A 21836-nucleotide genomic window follows, 5' to 3' on the forward strand; every position below is an offset into this window, starting at 1 on the left:
ATTATCCAGAAGGACCCTCGCGGTGCCTCAGGGCTGGCCATTGGCAGCCGAGGAGACAGGCACTTCCGGGCGGAGTGTAAGACGCTGGCCAATCACAGCCTGGCAGCGGGACTTCCGTCGTCGTCCTCGGACCATCACTTTGGCATTTCTCGATTTTGTCTGCTTCTGAAGGGACCGCGTTGTCAGGCGAGGGACGGAATCTTGGAGGCTCCCTGGGCCCATGGAAACAGGAGCGAGGAAGGCACGAGAGTCGGGGAAGTTCCGCCTTCTTGACATACAAGCGCCCCCACCGCGGCGAATATCGCCCCTGAGCCCAGTGTTCGCCCCCCACAACACCGCACCCCCCTTCCCCACCCTGTGCCTTAGATAAAGCCGGCCCAGTGGGACCCTCAGGTTGCACCGCGCGGAGGTGTCCGCGGCTCTCGGGAGTCGTCGCCCTTGGCGTTATGTTGGCTTTAGGGAGCGCGAGGCCGAGGCCAAGAAAAGCTACGCATTGGGAGGTCTTGACCCAGTGTGCGCCCGGCTGTAGGCATGGAACGTGCGCCAAAGGTCTCCTGGCACCCACTCCGCTGGACTCAGCACCATTGTCCTAAGTCTCCGATTGAGAAGTATCTGCCCCAGGTCCTCTGCGGGCCCCACTGAACAGTGTGGAGCGTTCACAGGTTGGGGGTCACCATTTCAGAATCCAGTTTGTTGAGACGTGGAGGGTACAGGAGGAGGGATCTGCATATGCGAAGACTTGGACTTGACCCTGACCTGAGCGTTCAGGCAGGCTCTCATGCCCCCTTGGCAGCGAGTGGAGAGCGTAAGAGGAGTCCTGCCTCTCCTGGCACACCGAGGGCGCCTGGGAGCCATGAAAGGTGTTGAACAGAAAAGGGATGGACATGACCTGAGTTAGAATTTGGAAAGTATTTCAGTGGTTGCTGAATGAACACACTACTGGAGAAGGTGGTTGTAGTGGGGCTGGAAGCAGGGAGACTGTGGGGGAGGTTATTGCAGTATTGTTCCAGACAGTTATGATAGTGGCCTGTCCAGAACGGAAGCAAGAAGGATGGGAGAAGTGATCAGATTCCCAGTGGATCTTCAAGATAGAGCTAATGGAATTTTTTGCTACCTTAGATAAGTGGAATAAGCATGAGTAGGGGTGAAGGACCATCCCAAGTAGTTAGGAAGAATTAGGATGCCTCCTGTGGAGAATAGAGGTTGGCAGTTGGCAGGAGGAGGATGTTTCATGGAAGATTAGCGATGGATTTTGTAGGTATAGAGTCTGAATTGTCTGGAGACCTGTGAGTGGAGGTGTCAAATGGGCCTCTGGATATATAGAATTCTGGTGTGGCTTCAGGACGTCCAGACTGCATTATGTTGGTGGCCTGGCCCAGTGAACGGCCTGAGGATAGGATTTGGGAAGGAGGGTTTTAGGTTGGAGGACCAGTGGCTAGGGCTCACGCTCAGTGCTTAGATCACATCTGTCTGCCCATTGGCTTGGTGTTGCAGGGCTTAATGACCTTTGAGGACAGGGTCAGTACATCTTCCAAGAATGTGGGGCTCCTTAGTGAGGTCCAAGGGGGCTTCTACAGTGACATGATACTACAGAGCTTTGTACTCCAGTGCCCACTAGGTAAGGCTACTGTGTCTCCTCTTTCCCCTACACATGAAATCTAGGTTTTCCTCCGCCTTTCCATTGTTCCCTCTGGGAGGTGCTGCTGGCCCTGGCACTGGCCAGTGTCCTGCTGTGTCCGGAATTGTTTCCTTCCTCTGGGTTCTTGGTCTCGCTGACTTCAAGAATAAAGCCGCGGACCCTCGTGTTGAGTGTTACAGTTCTTTTTTTTTTTTTTTTTTGAGACGGAGTCTCGCTCTGTCGCCCAGGCCGGACTGCGGACTGCAGTGGCGCAATCTCGGCTCACTGCAAGCTCCGCTTCCCGGGTTCACGCCATTCTCCTGCCTCAGCCTCCCGAGCAGCTGGGACTACAGGCGCCCGCCACCGCACCCGGCTAATTTTTTTTTTTTGTATTTTTAGTAGAGACGGGGTTTCACCTTGTTAGCCAGGATGGTCTCGATCTCCTGACCTCATGATCCACCCGCCTCGGCCTCCCAAAGTGCTGGGATTACAGGCGTGAGCCACCGCGCCCGGCCCTGTTACAGTTCTTAAAGATGGTGTGTCCGGAGTTTGTTCCTTCAGATGTTCAGATGTGTCTGGAGTTTTTTCCTTCTGGTGGGTTCGTGGTCTTGCTGACTTCAGGAGTGAAGCTGCAGACCTTCGCAGTGAGTGTTACAGCTCTTAAAGGTGGCACATCCAGAGTTGTTCATTCCTCCTGGTGGGTTCGTGGTCTCGCTGACCTCAGGAGTGAAGCTGCAGACCTTTGCAATGAGTGTTACAGCTCGTAAAGGTGGCGTGTCCAATGTTGTTTGTTCCTCCCAGTGGGTTTGTGGTCTCGCTGGCTTCAGGAGTGAAGCTGCAGACCTTTGTGGTGAGTGTTATAGCTCATAAAGGTAGTGTGGACCCAAAGAGTGAGCAGCAGCAAGATTTATTGCGAAGAGCAAAAGAATAAAGCTTCTACAGCATGGAAGAGGACCCGCGGGTTGCCGCTGCTGGCTTGGGTGGCCAGCTTTTATTCTATTTGGCCCTGCCCACATCCTGCTGATTGGTCCATTATACAGAGCACTGATTGGTCCATTTTACAGAGCACTGATTGGTCCATTTTACAGAGCACTGATTGGTCCATTTTTACAGAGTGCTGATTGGTGAGTTTACAAACCTATAGCTAGACACAGAGTGCTGATTGGTGCATTTACAATCCTTTAGCTAGACAGAAAAGTTTTCCAAGTCCCCAGCCAATTAGCTAGACACAGAGCGCTGATTGGTGCGTTTACTAACCTTTAGGGAGACACAGAGCGCTGATTGGTGCATTTTTACAGAGTGCTGATTGGTGCGTTTACAAACCTTTAGCTAGACACAGAGCGCTGATTGGTGTGTTGGCAGTCCTTTAGCCGGACAGAAAAGTTCCCCAAGTCCCCACTGGACCCAGAAGCCCAGCCGGCTTCACTTTTCACTGCTACTTATCCCTGGCTGCTGCATAAACAACCCCCACACCTTCCCTGGGATCTTGACAACCTTGTGAAGCCACAGTGATGGTCCCTGCACCCACTCCCACGCCCTTGTCCAGCTCTAGAGGCCTCCTGTAGCCCAACCCACAAGCCACAAAATGAGGACCATCATGGCGGTGCCGGAAATCTCACCCCTCAATGCCCACCTGGAATCGGAAGTCTCAAAACCTGTGTAGCATATCACATGCAGCTGGGTCGTTTCCTGGCTAGGTTACCCTGTCAGGATCTGTGACTTTTCTGTCCTTTCTGCCACATTCCCTCACTCTAGTAGGAGTTTTCTGCCAGCTGTCCCTTGTGAGTCCCAGTGGGCACTGACATGGTCATTGATTGTGGGGTCACTGAGCATTGACTTTGTGAAGTTCAGTTCTTTCCAGCTATATACCTGCATAGGTGATCTTCACCTACGGTGATTTGTCATGGGGTGGATCACCTTGACGTGGGCTGCCTTCTCACAAACCACTTGATGAGAGCTGTATAGGATCACTGCCACCACCCCCGCCATGTGATCACCTAACTAGAACAAATGAAGAGACCTGGCTGGTGGACAGGGTGGCTTGAATTAGGCCATGGACAGAGAGGCCCCATGGTGCACCAGTTCTGTTGAGTGGAAGACAGCTGTGGCAGAGCTGTTGGCAGTGCCCTGGTGGCTCACCTGGTACCTGAGTTGTGCCCTCTGTTGTCCTGGCACCAGGATGTATAGCTGTGCCTTTTAAAAAAAATTTTCCTGACCTTCTTCTGACACTCTATCCTACTTTGCCCTGACTCCTGTTCCCTGGATGGCTTCCTCTCTGTCTTCCAAGATTCACTCTTTCCCCTTCTCCCGTCCTCCCCTCCAGTGGCCAGGTCTTCTACCATTGGCCTCCCTTTAATGTGTCTTGAACGGATAATGTATCTTTAAATAGTTGTTATCTGCACATGGTGGCTCATAACTACAGTCCCAACTACTTGGGATGCTGAGGCAGGAGGAGCGCTTGAGACCAGGAGTTTGAGTCCAGCTTGGGCAACATAACGAGATCCTATCTCTAAAATAAATAAATAAATACATAGATACCTAAATAGTTTTTGAAAACCTCTTCTTCCGTGAGACTGGCTTGTTCCATTTGAGGAGTATGGGCATAGGTGTCAATGGTTCAAGACCTGGACTTCGCTCACTGCATGGTACTGACCTGTCACCAGACACTAGGGCCCTGCAGCTCCACATTTTGCAGAACCTACAGAGAACTGACACTGAAGAGATAGCTGATAAATACACAGCATATGGAAAGGTGTTTGAGGGGAAGCAAGCCTTTTCTCCTACCAAAAAACTTCACAGTGGAAAAAATTGCAAGTGTATTATGAGCATGGGAAGGCCTTCACTTTTGTCTTCATCCTGAGAAAGCAGGAGTACATGCACATCTTCAAAGGCCCTTACAAGTATAGTAACATGGGGAATCCTCCAGCCAGAACTCTACCTCCTTTGAGCACCAATATGTTCACCCCAGAGAAAGTCCCCATAAGCGCAAGGAGTGTGGTCCAGCCATGAGCAAAATTTTGCAAAACTCTCCTCTGTATCAAAATGGTCATACCCTAATGAAGGACTCCTAAGTTCAGGGAATGTGGGGCACTGCCAGCTGTCCTGGTGGCTTCCCTGGTACCTGACTTGAGGTTCATACATGTTATATTCAGAGTTCTGCTTTCATTAGCAAAAACAAATTAACACCGGAAAATGGTTGTACAAATGCAATAACTACATGAAAGCTTTCAGTGAAATATGAAACCTCATCCTGCAGAATTCTCATCAGAGAGGCCCAGTGCATGCAGCTAATGTTGGAAAGCCTATTCTCAATTTTAATCCTATTTAGCACCAGCAATTTACAGCATTGTGAGTGTAGCATGTAGGAGAGCAAAAAATTGCAGCTCCTGCCTTGATGTGCACAAAGTGATTCACACTGGAAAAACCCTCTATGAGTGCAGCCAGCATGGGAGAGCATCGGCCACAGCTCCTGCCTTGCTTGGCACCAGAAACTTCACCCTGGAGAAAAGCCTTTTGATTATAGTAAATGTAGGAAAGTCTTCACCTCCCTTATTTAGTATAAAAGAATTCACACTGGCCAGGTGTGGTGGCTCATGCCTGTAATCCCAGCACTTTGGGAGGCTAAGGCAGGGGGATCACCTGAGGTCAGGAGTTTGAGACCAACCTGGCTAACATGGCAAACCCCCTCTTTACAAAAAATACAAAAATCAGCTGGGCATGGTAACGCCCATCTGTAATCCCAGCTACACCAGAGGCTGAGGCAGGAGAATTGCTTGACCTCAGGGGGCAGAGGTTGCAGTGAGCTGAGTTAGAGCCACTGCACCCCAGACTGGGTGACAGAGCAAGACCCTGTCTCCCTCACCAAAAACAAACAAACAAACAAACAAAAAACACAGCTGGGTGCAGTGGCTCACGCCTGTAATCCCAGCACTTTGGGAGGCCGAGGCAGGCAGATCATTTGAGGTCAGGAGTTTGAGACCAGCCTGGCCAACATGATGAAACCCTGTCTCTACTAAAAACAGAAAAATTAGCCGGGCATGGTGGCAGGCACCTGTAATCCCAGTTACTCAGGAGGCTGAGGCAGGAGAATCACTTGATCCTGGAAGGCGGAGATTGCAGTGAGCCAAGATCATGCCACTGCACTCCAACCTGGGCAACAGAGTGAAACTCCATCTCAAAAAACAAACAAACAAAACAAAACCCAGCCCTACATGAGTAGCCTTCAGCCACAGCTAAACCTTGTGTAGAAGGATTCCTCCCTGAGGAGACACTCCATGATGGCCCTGCATGTGGAGAAGCTGACAGAACCCATGTTGTACCATGATCGCCCTGCATGTGGAGAAGCTGACAGAACCCATGTTGTACTTTGCAACCCGCTGAGGGACCTTGGCAGAGCTATCACACCACTGGGTCCTGTGGTGGAAGCCCATCTCTGTTTTATGGTGACTTCCCAGTTGCTCAATGTAAGTCACTCCCTGTTTCCTGTTTATACTACCTTGGAGGGATGGTAGGGGCCTTGCACACATTGGGGTGGTATCATGCTCACTCATGATGGGGTTTGACATGGACATGACCCCATTCCAAGCAAGGAGCCTGATTGGATAATTTCTTTCTCTTTTTTTTTTTTTTTTTTTTTTGAGATGGAGTCTTTCTCTGTCACCAGGCTGGAGTGCAGTGGTGCGATCTCAGCTCACTGCAACCTCCGCCTCCCGGGTTCAAGAGATTCCCCTGCCTCAGCCTCCCAAGTAGCTGGAATTACAGCCACACACCACCTCGCCCGGCTAATTTTTTGTATTTTAGTAGAGACAGGGTTTCACCATGTTGGCCAAGATGGTCTCGATCTCCTGACCTCGTGATCCCCCCACCTCGGCCTCCCAAAGTGCTGGGATTACAGGCATGAGCCACTGCACCCGACCTCTCTCCTTTTGTCTTTTCTTTTTTCTTTTCTTTTCTTCTTTCCTTTCCTTTCCTTTGCTTTCCTTTCCTTTTCTTTCTTTTCTCGTCCTTTCTTTTCTTTTCTCTCTTTCTTTTTTTTGAGGCAGAGTCTCACTCTGGTGCTCAGGCTGGAGTGCAGTGGCATGATCTCAGCTCACTGCAACCTCTGCCTCCCGGTTTCAAGCAATTCTTCTGTCTCAGCCTCCCAAATAGCTGGACTTACAGGCGTGTGCCACCATGCCTGGCTAATTTTTGTATTTTTACTAGAGACGGAGTTTCACCATATATTGGCCAGGCTGGTCTCAAACTCCTGACCTCAAGTGATCTGCCTGCCTCGGCCTCCCAAAGTGCTGGGATTACTGGCGTGAGCCACCATGCCTGGCCGACAATGCAGGAGCTTAACCAAAGGACCACGTTGGCTAGGGTCAATCAGCTGCCCCAGGTGACCACCCTTAGTGCTAATCCTGTGCAGGGTAGGGGTCTGAGCCAAAAAGAGGAGGCTCTTGTGTGTACAGAAGGCAATTTGTTGCTATTTTTATTTCATGCCCAATTCATTAAGAATGTTTCAAACAATTAGCATTTTTCTAAGTATTAAGTAATTAACATTTGCCTGAAGAATTACACATTAGATGGATAATGTAAAAATAAAGTGTTTAAGAAGTTAAACGTCTCCAAACATTAAACATTACTTGAGATTGGACATGATGGGTCATGACTGTAATCCTAGCAGTTTGGGAGGCTGAGGCAGGTGGATTGCTTGAGTACAGGAGTTCGAGACCAACCTGAGAAACATGGTGAAACCTCGTTTCTACAAAAAAAGTAAATAAAATTAGCCAGGTGATATGGTTTGGCTGTGTCCCCACCCAAATCTCATCTTGAATTGTAACTCTCATAATTCCCACACGTTGTGGGAGGGACCCAGTGGGAGATAAGTGAGTCATGGGGGCAGTTTCCCCACACTGTTCTCGTGGTAGTGAATAAGTCTCAAGAGACCTGATGGTTTTATAAGGGGTTTCCTCTTTTGCTTGGCTCTCATTTGCTCTTACCTGCCACCATGTAAGACAGGGCTTTCACCTTCTGCCATGATTGTGAGGCCTCCCAGCCACATGGAACTGTGAGTCCATTAAACCTCTTTGTCTTCATAAATTACCCAGTCTCAAGTATGTCCTTATCAGCAATGTGAAAACAGATGAATATAGTAAATTGGTAGAGTGGGGTACTGCTATAAAGATACCCGAAAATGTGGAGGCAACTTTGGAATTGGGTAACAGGCAGAGGTTGGAACAGTTTGGAAGCCTCAGAAGGAGATAGGAAAATGTGGGAATGTTTGGAACTTCCTAGAGACTTGTTGAATGGCTTTGACCAAAATGCTGATAATGATATGGGCAATGAACTCCAGGCTGAGGTAGTCTCAAATGGAGATGAAGTTGTTGGGAACTGGAGTAAAGGTGATGCTTGCTATGTTTTAGCAAAGAGACTGGTGGCATTTTGCCCCTGCTGTAGAGATTTGTGGAACTTTGGATTTGAGGGAGATGACTTAAAGTATCTGGTCCGGGTGCAGTGGCTCACGCCTGTAATCCCAGCACTTTGGGAGGCTGAGGCAGGTGGATCATGAGGTCAGGAGATCAAGACCATCCTGGCTAACATGGTGAAACCCCGTCTCTACTAAAAAAATACAAAGAAATTAGCCTGGCATGATGGCGGGTGCCTGTAGTCCCAGCTACTCAGGAGGCTGAGGCAGGAGACTGGCATGAACCTAGGAGGCGGAGCTTGCAGTGAGCCAAGATTGCAACACTGCCCTGCAGCCTGGGTGACAGAGCAAGACTCCATCTCAAAAAAAATAAAAATAAAAATAAAGTATCTGGTGGAAGAAATTTCTAAGCAGCAAAGCATTCAAGAGGTGACTTTGATATTATTAAAAGCATTCAGTTTTAAAAGGGAAATACAGCATAAAAGTTCAGAAAATTTGCAGCCTGACCATGCAACAGAAAAGAAAAACACATTTTCTGTGGAGAAATTCAAGAAATTTGCATAAGTAACCAGGAGTCAAATGTTAATCGCCCGGACAATGGGGAAAATATCTCCAGGACATGTCAGAGACCTTTGTGGCAGCCCTTCCCATCACAGGCCCAGAGGCCTAGGAGGAAAAAATGGTTTCGTGGGCTCCCCCTGCTGTGTGCAGCCTACAGACTTGGTGCCCTGCATCCCAGCTGCTTGAACTATGGCTAAAAGGAGCCAAGGTACAGCTTAGGCTGTGGCTTCAGAGGGTGCAAGCCTCAAGCCTTGGCAGCTCCCATGTGGTGTTGAGCCTGTGGGTGCACAGAACTCAAGAACTGAGGTTTGGGAACCTCCACCTAGATTTCAGAAGATGTATGGAAATGCCCAGATTTGGAGCAGGCAAAAGTTTGCTGCAGGGGCAGGGCCCTCATGGAGAACCTCTGGTAGGGCAGTGCTGAAGGGAAATGTGGGGTTGAAGACCCCACACTGAGTCCCCACTGGGGTACTGCCTAGTGGAGCTGTGAGAAGGGGGCCACCATCCTCCAGACTCCAGAATGGTAGATACAACCAACAGCTTGGACCACGCACCCGGAAAAGTCACAGACACTCAACACCAGCCCATGAAAGCAGCTGGGAGGGAGGCTGTACCCTGCAAAGCCACAGAGCTGCAGCTGCCCAAGACCATGGGAACCCACTGCTTGTATCAGTGTGACCTGGATGTGAGACATGGAGTCAGAGGAGATTATTTTGGAACTTTAAGATTCGACTGTCCTGCTGCATTTCAGACTTTCGTGGGGCCTTTAGCCCCTTTCTTTTGGCCAATTTCTCCCATTTGGAATGGGTGTATTTATCCAACGGCTGTACCCCAATTGTATCTAGGAAGTGACTAACTTGCTTTTGATTTTACAGGCTCATAGGAAGAAGGGAATTGCCTTGTCTCAGATGAGATTTTGGACTGTGGACTTTTGAGCTAATGCTGAAATAAGTAGACTTTGGGGGACTGTTGGGAAGGCACGATTGGTTCTGAAATGTGAGCACGAGATTTGGGAGGGGCGAGGAACAGAATGATATGGTTTGGCTGTGTCCCCAACCAAATCTCATTTTGAATTGTAGCTTTCATAATTCCCACATGTTGTGGAAGGGGCCCCAGTTAGAGGTAACTGAGTCATGGGGACAGTTTCCCCCATACTATTCTTGTGGTAGTGAGTAAGTCTCACGAGATCTGATGGTTTCATAAGGGGTTTCCTCTTTTGCTTGACTCTCATTTGCTCTTGCCTGCTGCCATGTAAGACGTGCCTTTCACCTTCTGTCATGATTGTGAGGCCTCTCCAGCCACGTGGAACTATGAGTCCACTAAACCTCTTTTTCTTTATAAATTACCCAGTCTCAGATATGTCTTTATCAGCAACGTGAAAACAGACTAATACACCAGGCATCGTGGCTCCTGCCTGTAGTTCCAGCTACTTGGGAGGCTGAAGTTGGAGGACTGTTTGAGCATGGGAGGCGGAGGTTGCAGTGACCCGAGTATGCACCACTGCACTCCATCCTGGGTAAGAGAGTGAGACCCTGTCTCAAAAAAAAAAAAAAAAAAGTAAAAAAAAATTGCTTGAAATGTTAATAATGCCTCTAAGCATTTGATTAAATCACAATAGTACTTAAGTGTTCTTAAATTCTTTCAAAGCAGGAAAAATTTAAATAAAAACATTCAAAAATTGTCGAGCTATCTTACACTATAGGGATCTACAAGTAGAATCAATTCTGTGGACAGTTATAGCTGACAGTAGACAGATATTTATAGATGGAGGTGGGTATAGAGGAAGACAAAATGAATTAACGTACTTGACATCTGAGAACTGTCTAAGGATCCTAAAAACAAGACCCTCACAGGGAAGCAACAAAGAGAGAATCGTTTATTCTCTGCCAACAACATGGTCAGTCTACATTGAGACTGCCCTGCCTTTTGTTGTTATGTGTCAAAGACACTTAGATTGGTCCAGAGAAAAAAGGAACAAAGCATCCATGTTGTGATGTGTGGGGCAAAGCAAGAACTAGATGGTCTAAGGACAAGCAAGGCTGGGGAATTACCTTCTGCTCGTCCAAGTTACAAGGAAAACAAGTTTTGGGCGAGCGTCCAAGAACAATCACAGAATCAAGACAAATGACAAGCGGGTAGTGTCATTACAGGCTGAGAATTCTTGGTGTAGAGGTTGAAAAACGGACCTTAAACCTTTACGGGACACTGACACACAGAGAGATCAAACCCTCGCCCAGGATGCACAGTCAGTGAGATGCAAAGCTGGGAAGGGAACCCGGAGCTCCAGGCATCTGCTCCTCCACCTACACCTGCCCTACCCGGTGCGTTTTCTCCTCCCTGCTACCTGCTGGTGTTGCCTTCTGGAACCTCCGCAGTTTCTGCTTTCACACCTGCAGGGTTTAGTCTCCAGGGCTGCTTAGGTGGGTGCCAGGAACTGGGAATCCCCAACGCGGGACAACCTGCCGGGCGACTCAACCAGTGCCACGGAGCCCTTGGAAACCCGCGGCAGCTGCGCTACTCCATTTCCAGGCGCCCAGCGCGGCGGCGCTTAGCCGTTGCCATGGAGACTGGTAATGGCCCCGCCTCCGCGCCGAAAAACAGGCAGGAACCACATAACCCAGAAGGCTGTGCGCAAGCGTCTGCGCGCGTATTGGGGCAATGTGAGCTCTGGGGGCTGGACTTCCGGCGTTGGGACTGTCACTTGGCTGCTCGCGTCAGGCCACACCGGTGGTCTGGGCTGTGGCGCGCGGGTCGGGGCCCGAGGCGGGCGGCCAGGAAGGTACGGACCACGAGCAGCCGGCCGCGCCCCCAAGCCTCGGTATCTTCGAGTATGACGTGGTCGGCCCGGGGGCGGTCGGGCCCCGGCGGGAACCACGCGTTCTCCCGCCCCGCGGAAGCCCAGGAGGCAGCGCATTGGGCATTCTGCGCCCATGACTGCCGGGCAGGCTGAGGCGCGGGGCAGCCGCGGGAGGCTGCTGGCGGGGATGGCGGTCCCGGGTGGTCCATGCCTTTCTTCCCTCCCAGTTGCGGGTTCCGCTGGCGGCGGTGGCGCTGACAAGCCCGCGCCGGGGGGGCGGGGGAGTCCCTGCTCACACAGACTGCGCCCCCACGGAGTGAGGCCGCTTCCTAGACCTCGCCTAGTCGTCTTTCCTCTCCCTGCCCTGGGGGGGTTGCGGGGGTCAGTGCAAACTCCTGCGTCCAGGGCACTGGTGAGCTCCCGACTTCCGGCAGCCAGGGGGCTGAGGTCCCGAAGGAGGCTCCGAGGGGAGAGTCCTGCGTGTGCAAAACCTGGGAGGGGAGCCGAAGCCCAGATGCTTCTGGGACTGAGCGCTCTCGATGTGGAGCTGGAGTAGAGGGGATGTGTGCGGCTGCAGTAGCAGGCGAGGGAGTGGGCTTTATCTCGAGGGCGTCGGGAGACATAGAAGTTTTGAACAGAATCAGGACATCCTCTGAGTTGGGACTTTAAAACGGTTCCACCGTTTGTTGCGTGGAGAACAGACATGCAGGGGTGTCGGCATGAAGGGAAGAACCGACTGCCACAGTCTGGGCAGCAGTGGAGGTGGGCGACCAGGTGAATTCTGGTGGATCTGCGGATGCATCAGGTGTGGGCTGTTTGAAGAACTAAGTACCCCATGTTGTTCAGCCTGAGCGCCTGGAAGAAGAGAGCTGCTGTAGATAGAAAGGAGAATTGAAAGGAAAGCAGGTTTCCTTCAGGGGAAAGATCAAGAGTCTGGGATGTCCCAGGTTGGTCATGTCACTGGACCTGACGTTGTTGGTGTCCTGGGCTGAGGACAGGGCCTATAAACTGGACTGAAGAAGGCGATGAGCAGTCAGGCGTGCGGAGTTACAGCTTGAGGGTAAAGAAAACCGGCTGGGGTGCCTGAGGCTATCAGGGGAGGAGTTCGGCAGGTGGCTGAATAGGAGAGGGTGGCAGCAATGTGGGAAAGAAATTGCGGGAGCGCTGAGATCGAGACCATCCTGGCTCACACAGTGAAACCCGGTCTCTACTAAAAATCCAAAAAAATTAGCCAGGTGTGGTGGCGGGAGGCTGAGGCAGGAGAATGGCGTGAACCCGGGAGCCGGAGCTTGCAGTGAGCCGAGATTGCCCCACTGCACTCCAGCCTGGGTGACGGAGTGAGACTCCGTCTCCAAAATAAAAATAAATAAATAAATAAATAAATAAATAAATAAATAAATAAATAAATTGAGGAGGGGGCGCCATGTGGAGGGAGGAAGGGATTGAGTTCCCCTGTGTTCACAGGTTCTTGGGGCTGCACCCCTATGACGACTGGTGGGGATCATCCAGTCCCTCAGGCTGGATGAGCAGCCTGGAAATGTCAGGCAAGCGCAGCAGGGGAAGGTCTCAGTGATGGGCATGCCTGGGGGGTCCACAGCTGGGACTTACACCCTTGCTTATTACAAAAGCAAGAAGGGCACATCTGGGGAGGGTCATGAATGGTCATGCTGAGTCACGAGTGGATATTTGGGGCTGCCCTTGGTGTGGCAGCTAAGGGCCCAGCCAGGGCTTGCTCTAGCCTGCTTGTGTAGGGGTGGCCAGTGGGGAAGTCAAGAAGCCATCTGGGGCCTGGACCAGGAGGGCAGAGGGGAGGGGTCCCAGACAGGTGAGGGAAGTGCCACCTGAAGATAATCTCGGGGTGGAACCCAAGGAAGGAGGGACACTGGGGGAGGTGACTGTTGGGATGGGGAGCTTGGTCCTGGCTCACAGCCATACCTTAGACCATGCCTACCTCCACCTCCCTGCTGTTTTAGGACCTGATGACCTTCGAGGATGTGGCCGTGTACTTCTCCCAGGAGGAGTGGGGGCTCCTGGACACAGCGCAGAGGGCCCTGTACCGCCACGTGATGCTGGAAAACTTCACACTTGTGACCTCACTTGGTAAGGCCCTGGGTGCTCCATGAAAAGTGCACTTGGTGACAATCAGGACTGCCTCTTCACTTCCCTCCTGGTTGATGAGCAGGATCAAATCTGGCCAGGGCCACGTGGAACAAGGGTCTGGTCCTGTAGACACAAAGTTTGGTTGGGTCAGCCACTCCTTGCCGCCCTGTCCAGCTGTGGCCTCTCTCATGCCTGGGCTCAGTCCCGTTGCTTTGGTGCTCTGGGCACAGTTGCTGCTCTGGGGACACATGAGCTATTCCTATGAGCCCCTTGCCCTGTGCTATCTTTAGATTCTCCCAGTTGCACAGATTACTGTCTATTTCCATGAAGCCCTGACTCCTGCTCTCTGTTGGGAGGTGGGTTGTCTTGACCTGGGGCTGGGCTCTCACCTGCTCCTCCTCACAGGACTCTCTACCTCCCGACCTCGTGTGGTCATTCAACTTGAGCGTGGCGAGGAGCCCTGGGTTCCCAGTGGAAAGGACATGACCCTGGCCAGGAACACCTACGGGAGGCTCAACTCTGGTGAGTGGGAGCTCAGGTGGGGTGAACTAAGGACCAACCTGTGGCCAAGCCCATGTCCCTGCTTTTCTGACTCTGGAAACACATCCTCCTCTCCTGCCTCCTACCTGACTCCCTTCTCTTCCATCATCAGCCTCTCCTGGAGGCTGCTGCCTTAGTAGGTGCCCTTGAAGGGAGAGCTCCAAGGGCACAGGAGCTGGGTTCACACAGAAGGGCCTACCTTCAGCTGGGCTGTGTGGCCTTGAACCCTCCACAACTAGCAGCCATTATTGATAGGTATTTATTTCGCCCATCATTTATCTTTGTATTCATCAAATGTTTCCTGAGGGCTTGTGGGCATTGTAGACACAGCCTTGACCAGGACACTCATGGTCCTGCCTTTGTGGGGCTGATGGTGCTAGGGGAGACGCAGTGAGTACGTAGGATTCAGGAGTGCAGTCTTGAGCATTGGTTGGAGGTCATTGCAAGAGCAGGTTTGGGAGTGGGTGCCCAAGACGGGGCACCAGGGGAGAAGGGAGTGAGCTATGGAAAGGGAGGGGGTGGAACAGCCAGTGTGGAGACGTGGGTGGCACGCAGCAGCTGCTGTTTTCCTCAGCTTCACATCCTGGGTGTCTGGGGGCTGCCGCCTTGATCATGGGAGTCCCCACTGCAGTCAGTGCCACACCTGTCAGGGCAGATGCTTCCTCCAAACCCCAGCCCCTCCTGCAGAGCCAGCCTCACCTCTTCTTTTTCCCTAAGCTTTTGTCCCGGCTCCTGGGCTCCCCCTTGCCTGTCCACTCAGCCTGCCCTGGTCCTCTCCTAACCAGGATGCCCCAGGCAACCACCGTTTCTCTGCGTTTAGGTTCCTGGAGTTTGACAGAGGATAGAGATGTTTCTGGAGAATGGCCACGAGCTTTCCCAGATACCCCACCTGGGATGACTACTAGCGTCTTCCCAGTTGCCGATGCCTGCCACAGTGTAAAAAGCCTGCAGCGACAACCGGGTGCCTCCCCATCTCAGGAGAGAAAACCCACGGGGGTGTCGGTGATCTACTGGGAGAGGCTCCTGCTAGGCTCGCGCAGTGACCAGGCCAGCATCAGCCTGCGACTGACCTCCCCACTCAGGCCCCCCAAGAGCAGCCGGCCCAGGGAAAAGACCTTCACAGAGTACCGGGTGCCTGGGAGGCAGCCCAGGACGCCTGAGCGGCAGAAGCCATGTGCACAGGAGGTCCCTGGGAGAGCCTTCGGGAATGCCTCGGACCTGAAGGCCGCCAGTGGTGGCAGGGATCGCAGAATGGGCGCAGCTTGGCAGGAGCCTCATAGACTCCTCGGTGGCCAGGAGCCCTCGACCTGGGACGAGCTGGGCGAGGCTCTTCACGCTGGGGAGAAGTCCTTCGAATGCAGGGCGTGCAGCAAAGTGTTCGTGAAGAGCTCCGACCTCCTCAAGCACCTACGCACCCACACCGGGGAGCGGCCCTACGAGTGCACCCAGTGCGGCAAGGCCTTCAGCCAGACGTCGCACTTGACGCAGCACCAGCGCATCCACAGCGGCGAGACGCCCTACGCGTGCCCCGTGTGCGGCAAGGCCTTCCGGCATAGCTCCTCGCTGGTGCGGCACCAGCGCATCCACACGGCCGAGAAGTCCTTCCGCTGCTCCGAGTGCGGCAAGGCCTTCAGCCACGGCTCCAACCTCAGCCAGCACCGCAAGATCCACGCGGGTGGGCGTCCTTATGCTTGCGCACAGTGTGGCCGCCGCTTCTGCCGCAACTCGCACCTGATCCAGCACGAGCGTACGCACACAGGCGAGAAGCCCTTCGTATGCGCGCTCTGCGGTGCTGCCTTCAGCCAGGGCTCCTCGCTCTTTTTGCACCAGCGCGTGCACACAGGCGAGAAGCCCTTCGCCTGCGCCCAGTGCGGCCGCTCCTTTAGCCGCAGCTCCAACCTCACCCAGCACCAGCTCCTGCACACGGGCGAGCGGCCCTTCCGCTGCGTGGACTGTGGCAAGGGTTTCGCCAAGGGCGCCGTGCTGCTCAGCCACCGGCGCATTCACACGGGCGAGAAGCCCTTCGTGTGCACGCAGTGTGGCCGCGCCTTCCGTGAGCGCCCTGCCCTCTTGCACCACCAGAGGATCCACACCACAGAGAAGACCAATGCCGCAGCACCAGACTGCACCCCGGGGCCAGGTTTCCTTCAGGGACATCATCGGAAGGTGCGCCGGGGAGGGAAGCCAAGCCCAGTCCTGAAGCCAGCGAAGGTCTGAGGTCACAGGTCGCAGCCCAACCCTTTCTTGGCCTTCTGTGAATCCCTTCCACAGCTAAAGGGTCCGAGTGCTCTTCAGATCCACGATGGGGAAAAGCTCTGTGCCTGAGAGTCAGGGACGAGGGAGACCCTTTGGCTGTGGTTCCATTTGCAGGTGGGGACAGGATTTGCCAGTTTAGTCATAGCTCACACCTCCATCCTCAAAGAGGTAACACTGCAGAAACATCAGAGGGAGGACATGTCAGCTGGAACTCTGGTGGGGCTGAGGCTGTAGTTGGGGCCATAGGACGCCGACAAAGGCAGCGCTGCATGGTGGTGCTACTTCATGTGTTATGAGAGTGGATGCTGAGGTGAGGGGGATGCGGACATGGGGTAGGATGACCTAGAGAAACTTATGATGTCTGCACACAAACTGGCCGCTAGACGGACGCTGAGGACATTTTCCCCCTGAGGCCTCTATTCAAGGCTTCCTGGGGGCCATCTCAGCAAACAGGAGACTACAGGGGACTGGGGATCAGGGTGTGGCCTGTGAGTGTCAGCCTCCTCCTCGGAAAAAGAAAAGCTTTGGGTCAACTCAGCATCATGTTTGCAGATGCTGACAGACGGGATCCTAATGAGAGTCAATGTGTGCTCACTGCCAGCTCCTGGGCTGTGCTCTGGTCAGCCAGGTGTGAGGGCCTGGCCTGGGGTCACACAGCTGACTCAGGAGAGGAATGCCCATGGTTCTCAGCATTGGAAGGACAAACCTAGGATGATGGCTTTCCAGTGGCACTCGTTCAGGTTTTCGTCCAAGTCTCAGCTTGGCCAAGGCCTGTCGCTCACTCATTTACAAAAGTCGATGTGAGGAGGAGCCTTTACACCTGTGGAGACAGTGATAGCTTTGGAGCAGATAAGGTGGAGCTGCTCATTTTTGCTGGATTTGGTGGCCGATCCCCGCCCCCACCCCCACCCCCTCCATCTCACCTTTCCCTTGTTATGCCTCCTCAATTGGAGGCTGGACAGAGAGCTGAATAGGAAGGACTTGCCATTACCTAAGGCCATGTGTGACAGCCTCCTGAGGACCTCCCCAACCCAGTGTGATGGGCCTGCATGGCAGAGACAAAAGGGTAGACTGGGGGTCATTTGCTTCCTGTGGCCTTAAGCCTACTAGGCCCCATCCTTACCTGAGACCTCACCTCCAAGAAATTAATGGTCTTTTCAATGGAGAAAAAAAAAGACTAGTATTTGCAACTTCAAATAGATGTAGTTTCCTTTACAGCCGTGTGGACCTCCACAGCACAGCCTCCTGTCTCTATTCCAGGGTATGATTCAGTTGTTTGTTTGTTTTTGAGACAGAGTCTCAAGGCAACTCTTCTTGCCCAGGCTGGAGTGCAATGGCACAATCTCGGCTCACCGCAACCTCCGTCTCCCAGGTTCAAGTGATTCTCCTGCCTCAGTCTTCTGAGTAGCTGGGATTACAGGCGCCCACCACCATGCCCGGCTAATTTTGTATTTTTAGTAGAGACAGGGTTTCTCCATGTTGGTCAGGCTGGTCTCGAACTCCCAACCTCAGGTGATCTGCCCATCTTGGCCTCCCAGAGTGCTGGGATTACAGGCGTGAGCCACTGCGTTTGTTTTTCATGAAGCGTCTCAGTCTGTCGCCCAGGCTGGAGTGCAGTGGAGCAACCTCGGCTCTGCCTCTTGGGTTCAAGCCATTCTCCTGCCTCAGCCCCTCCAGTAGCTGGGATTACAGGCTTGCACCACCATACCTGGCTAATTTTTGTATTTTTAGTAGAGACGGGGTTTCACCATGTTGGCTGGGCTGGTCTCAAACTCCTGACCTCAAGTGATCGGCCCATCTTGGCCTCCCAAAGTGGTGAGATTACAGGCGTGAGCCACTGCGCCTGCCTACATACCATGATTTTAAAGTTGCAGCTGTTTCCTATTGCTTGTAACTCAGTCTTGTCTTTTCAATGGTAACCAATTTCTGTTTCAAACTGAAAGGTTCATGAGGGTGAGTTCTTCTATTAGTCTGTTTTGTGTCACTATAAAGGAACACCTAAGGCTGGGTAATTTATAAAGAAAAGAGGATTAATTGGCTCATGGTTCTGCAGGATGTACAGCCATGGCACCAGCATCTGCATGGCTTCTGGTGGGACCTCAGGAAGCTTGCAATCATGATGGAACATGAAGGAAGAGCTGGCATATCACATGGCAAGACAGGAAGCAAGGCGGGGGGGAAGTGTCACACATTTTTTTTTTTTTTTTTGAGGAGTCTCGCTCTGTTGTCCAGGCTGGAGTGCAGTGGCACGATCTCGGCTCATTGCAACCTCCGCCTCCCGGGTTCACGCCATTCTCCTGCCTCAGCCTCCCGAGTAGCTGGGACTACAGGTGCCCGCCACCACGCCCAGCTAATTTTTAATATTTTTAGTAGAGACGGGGTTTCACCGTGTTAGCCAGGATGGTCTCGATCTCCTGACCTTGTGATCCGCCCGCCTTGGCCTCACAGCAGAGTGGTGGGATTATAGGCGTGAGCCACCGCGCCCGGCCCACTTTTTTTTTTTTTTTTCTGAAATGGAGTTTTGCTCTTGTTGCCCAGGCTGGGGTGCAATGGCACGATCTCAGCTCACTGCAACCTCTGCCTCCTGGGTTCAAGTGATTCTCCTGCCTCAGCCTCCTGAGTAGCTGGGATTACAGGTGTGCACCACCATGTCAGCTAATTTTTGTATAATATTTTTAGCAGAGACAGGGTTTTGCCATGTTGGCCAGGCTAGTCTCAAATTCCTGGCCTCAAGTGATCCACCCGCCTCAGCTTCCCAAAGTGTTGGGATTACAGGTGTCAGCCACCGCACCCAGCCCATCACACACTTTTAAACAACCAAATCTTTCATGAACTCAGAGCAAGAGCTCACTTCTCACCAAGGGGGATGGTGGCAAGCTATTCATGAGGAATCTGCCCCCATACTATAGTTTGGATGTTTGTCCCCTCCAAATCTCATGTTGAAATGTAATCCTCAATGTTGGAGATGGGGCCTGGTGAGAGGTGTTTGGGTCATGGGGGTGGATCGCTCTTGAATCTCTTGGTGCTGTCCTCAAGGTAGTGAGTTCTCACAAGATTTGGTTATTTAAAAGTCTGTGGCACCTCCTTCCTTTCTCTCTTGCTCCTGCTCTCACCAGGTGAGATGCCTCCTCCCCCTTTACCTTCTGCCATGATTGTAAGCTTCTTGAGAACCTAGCAAGAAGCAGATTCTGAAGCCATGCTCGTACAGCCCTCAGAACAGTGATCCAATTAAACCTCTCTTCTTTATAAATTACACAGCCTCAGGTATTTCTTTATAGTAATGCAGGAATGGCCTAATATACCTCATGATCCAACACCTCCCACTAGGCCCCATGTCCAACACTGGAGATCACATTTCAACATGAGATTTGGAGGAGACACACATCCAAACCATATCAGTTCTCTTGTCCCTGAGTGAAGAGGCACTTGCTCCCTCTAAACCCAATTCTAGGTGACTAGAGATTTATGAAGGTGTCGGGATGTTTGTTCATGATGCATAGTGGCCTCATAGGGTCTCCCTACTTCTTCTGCAAGAAGAACACCTTCAGGGGCTTTCAGCTCAGCCAGAAGATTCACATAAAGGTTGTTCATCTGGTACCTTGAGCACTCTGCCAACACAGGTGATCACAGATTCCAAGACACATAAAAGAGTGAATCACAACTCACTGGTGACTCATTGAGGAGTGATGCTCACAAAGCAACACACTTCGTCTAAATACACTGTACTAACCTTGGTCACTTTTGAAAAGGTATTTCTACAATTATTTGAAACTGCTCATGAAAACTGAGCTTTCCCTTAAGGAGCAACCCCCCCACCCTTCGAAACCTATGGAGATCCTATTTCCAAAAACTTAGGTAAATGGACCCAGGTCACTCGAGATGACCCTAAAATGCAGTGGCCAAAACGGAGATCTTTTGAAATTCCTAAAGTAATATATTTGTGTGCACAATAGGAAACTTAATATGTTTGTTCTAAAACCAGACAAATTGGATGGGAGGCCTACTTTCTGTTTGTGCAGGCTATACTCTGATAAGATATTTGAAAGGTTTTTTAAAAAGAGCTCTATAGGCCAGGCACAGTGGCTCATGCCTGTAATTCCAGCACTTTGGGAGGCCAAGGTGGGCGGATCACCTGAGGTTGGGAGTTCGAGACCAGCCTGACCAACATGGCGAAACCCCATCTCTACTGAAAAATACAAAAATTAGCCAGGCATGGTGGTGCGTGCCTGTAGTCCCAGCTACTTGGGAGGCTGAGGCAGGAGAATCACTTGAACCTGGGAGGCGGAGGTTGCAGTGAGCTATGAAACTATAGCAAACTCCAGCCTGGGCGACAGAGTGAGACTCCGTCACAAAAGTAAGTAAATAAAATACAATGAATTCTATGGTCAGATGTCAGCTTAATTAAAAGCTGATATTCAGGCTTTTTTTTTTTTTTTAAGAAAAAATACCTTTCTGCTTTTTCTCATTTGGAGCCTGTTTCTGGGAATTTTTTTTTTTTCTGTTGACTGAAACCCCTTTTTACATATGTTTAGTCCCTTTGTTTGCTTCTTTTCTTGTTAGTATGATGTAAAGTTTTATTGGCCTTCTGAAAAACTTAAAATCTCCCCAAATTGGCTTAGAGCTCTCCCATTTTCTTCTACTTTTTCTTCCTTTAGCTATCTTTGATACCACATAAAGAAATCTAGAGGAGTCTTCTAATATCTCTGAGACCCTTTGAGGAACACAGTAAAGTGTCACATACACCTTTTATGGAGTCTTCTGTCTTCCTCATGGAATCCTAAGTGTAGCAGGCAGTTTATCTTAGGTCTAAAGCTCTGATCTCTTTTACACTGAGTTCTCTGACCTTTTGGCTTGGGGGGTACCAAGGGTTACTTTGTTCTATGAAAGAACATGATCTTTGGGTGTGCACTGGCTGGCAAGTTACTGGCAAGGGCTGCAGTTTTGGCTGATAGCAGTTGTTTTCAGTGAGTGGTTATTACTGCAGGGTGTACTAATTCCTTTGCATGTTTAAATAAGAAAAGTATGGTTTGAACACTTGGAGACTTATAGAAACACTCATCACCAAGGGGGAAGAATCCTTTGGGAGATGGGCTGATCACAGATCACAGAGTGGGCTAATTGGTGCTGGGTGTCCCACCAGCATCAGGGAATGTCCATGCAGTGAGGTGCACTGTGGAAACACAGCCCTGTCCTGTGGTATTTCCATCTTGTGGGGTCCTCAAGATTCCATTTTAAAGTGGAATCCTTGATTTTATTTATTTATTTTTATTTTTTGAGATGGAGTCTCGCTCTGTTGCCCAGGCTGGAGTGCAGTGGCGTGATCTCAGCTCACTGCAAGGTCCACCTCCCGGGTTCACGCCATTCTCCTGCCTCAGCCTCCCGAGTAGCTGGGACTACAGGCGCCCGCCACCACCCCTGGCTAATTTTTTTGTATTTTTAGTAGAGACGGGGTTTCACCATGTTAGCCAGGATGGTCTCGATCTCCTGACCTCGTGATCCGCCCGCCTCGGCCTCCCAAAGTGCTGGGATTACAGGCGTGAGCCACTGCGCCTGGCCTG

General features: G+C 51.5%; 1 protein-coding gene, 1 long non-coding RNA gene and 1 pseudogene across 8 annotated transcripts in view, besides 4 other annotated features; all 3 read left to right on the forward strand.

The window, feature by feature from the left end:
* The window catches only part of ZNF324B (zinc finger protein 324B), a 39438-nt gene extending 21945 nt beyond the window's left edge, over positions 1 to 17493 (forward strand). The window contains exons 1-5 of one of the 7 annotated variants that reach the window (XM_005258915.5): positions 11282 to 11364; positions 12847 to 12926; positions 13356 to 13482; positions 13888 to 14004; positions 14843 to 17493. In XM_005258915.5, the coding sequence (XP_005258972.1) occupies positions 13362 to 13482; positions 13888 to 14004; positions 14843 to 16239 (1635 nt within the window). In that variant the 5' untranslated portion in view covers positions 11282 to 11364; positions 12847 to 12926; positions 13356 to 13361 and the 3' untranslated portion in view covers positions 16240 to 17493. Of the gene's footprint in view, positions 1 to 11281; positions 11414 to 11455; positions 12443 to 12846; positions 12927 to 13355; positions 13483 to 13887; positions 14005 to 14842 lie in introns of those variants that run through there. The other 6 variants (XM_047438808.1, XM_047438806.1, XM_005258918.5 and 3 more) reach the window with 6 other exon arrangements.
* Positions 108 to 4161, forward strand: ZNF132-DT (ZNF132 divergent transcript). The gene has a single exon (NR_186311.1). It is a non-coding gene; the product is annotated as a ZNF132 divergent transcript (long non-coding RNA).
* Positions 222 to 351: an enhancer, noted in NCBI's record as "active region_15198". NCBI's record gives its function as "activates an Ori minimal core promoter by ATAC-STARR-seq in GM12878 lymphoblastoid cells {active_cell/tissue: GM12878}" and the evidence as "EXISTENCE:reporter gene assay evidence [ECO:0000049][PMID:35858748]".
* Positions 501 to 1010: an enhancer, noted in NCBI's record as "H3K27ac-H3K4me1 hESC enhancer chr19:58952208-58952717 (GRCh37/hg19 assembly coordinates)". NCBI's record gives its function as "activates a minimal SCP1, AML or CMV promoter by ChIP-STARR-seq in primed H9 embryonic stem cells {active_cell/tissue: H9 hESC(primed)}" and the evidence as "EXISTENCE:reporter gene assay evidence [ECO:0000049][PMID:30033119]".
* Positions 4588 to 5139, forward strand: LOC100419848 (zinc finger protein 250 pseudogene; annotated as a pseudogene).
* Positions 10988 to 11314: a silencer, noted in NCBI's record as "fragment chr19:58962695-58963021 (GRCh37/hg19 assembly coordinates)". NCBI's record gives its function as "represses an EF-1alpha promoter that drives an FKBP-Casp9 reporter gene in an ReSE screen in HepG2 liver carcinoma cells {active_cell/tissue: HepG2}" and the evidence as "EXISTENCE:reporter gene assay evidence [ECO:0000049][PMID:32094911]".
* Positions 11292 to 11721: a silencer, noted in NCBI's record as "silent region_11083". NCBI's record gives its function as "represses an Ori minimal core promoter by ATAC-STARR-seq in GM12878 lymphoblastoid cells {active_cell/tissue: GM12878}" and the evidence as "EXISTENCE:reporter gene assay evidence [ECO:0000049][PMID:35858748]".
* Positions 17494 to 21836: the final 4343 nt, after the last annotated feature.

Source organism: Homo sapiens, chromosome 19 (genome assembly GCF_000001405.40).
Source record: "Homo sapiens chromosome 19, GRCh38.p14 Primary Assembly".
In the NCBI taxonomy this organism is placed as follows: Eukaryota; Metazoa; Chordata; class Mammalia; order Primates; family Hominidae; genus Homo; species Homo sapiens.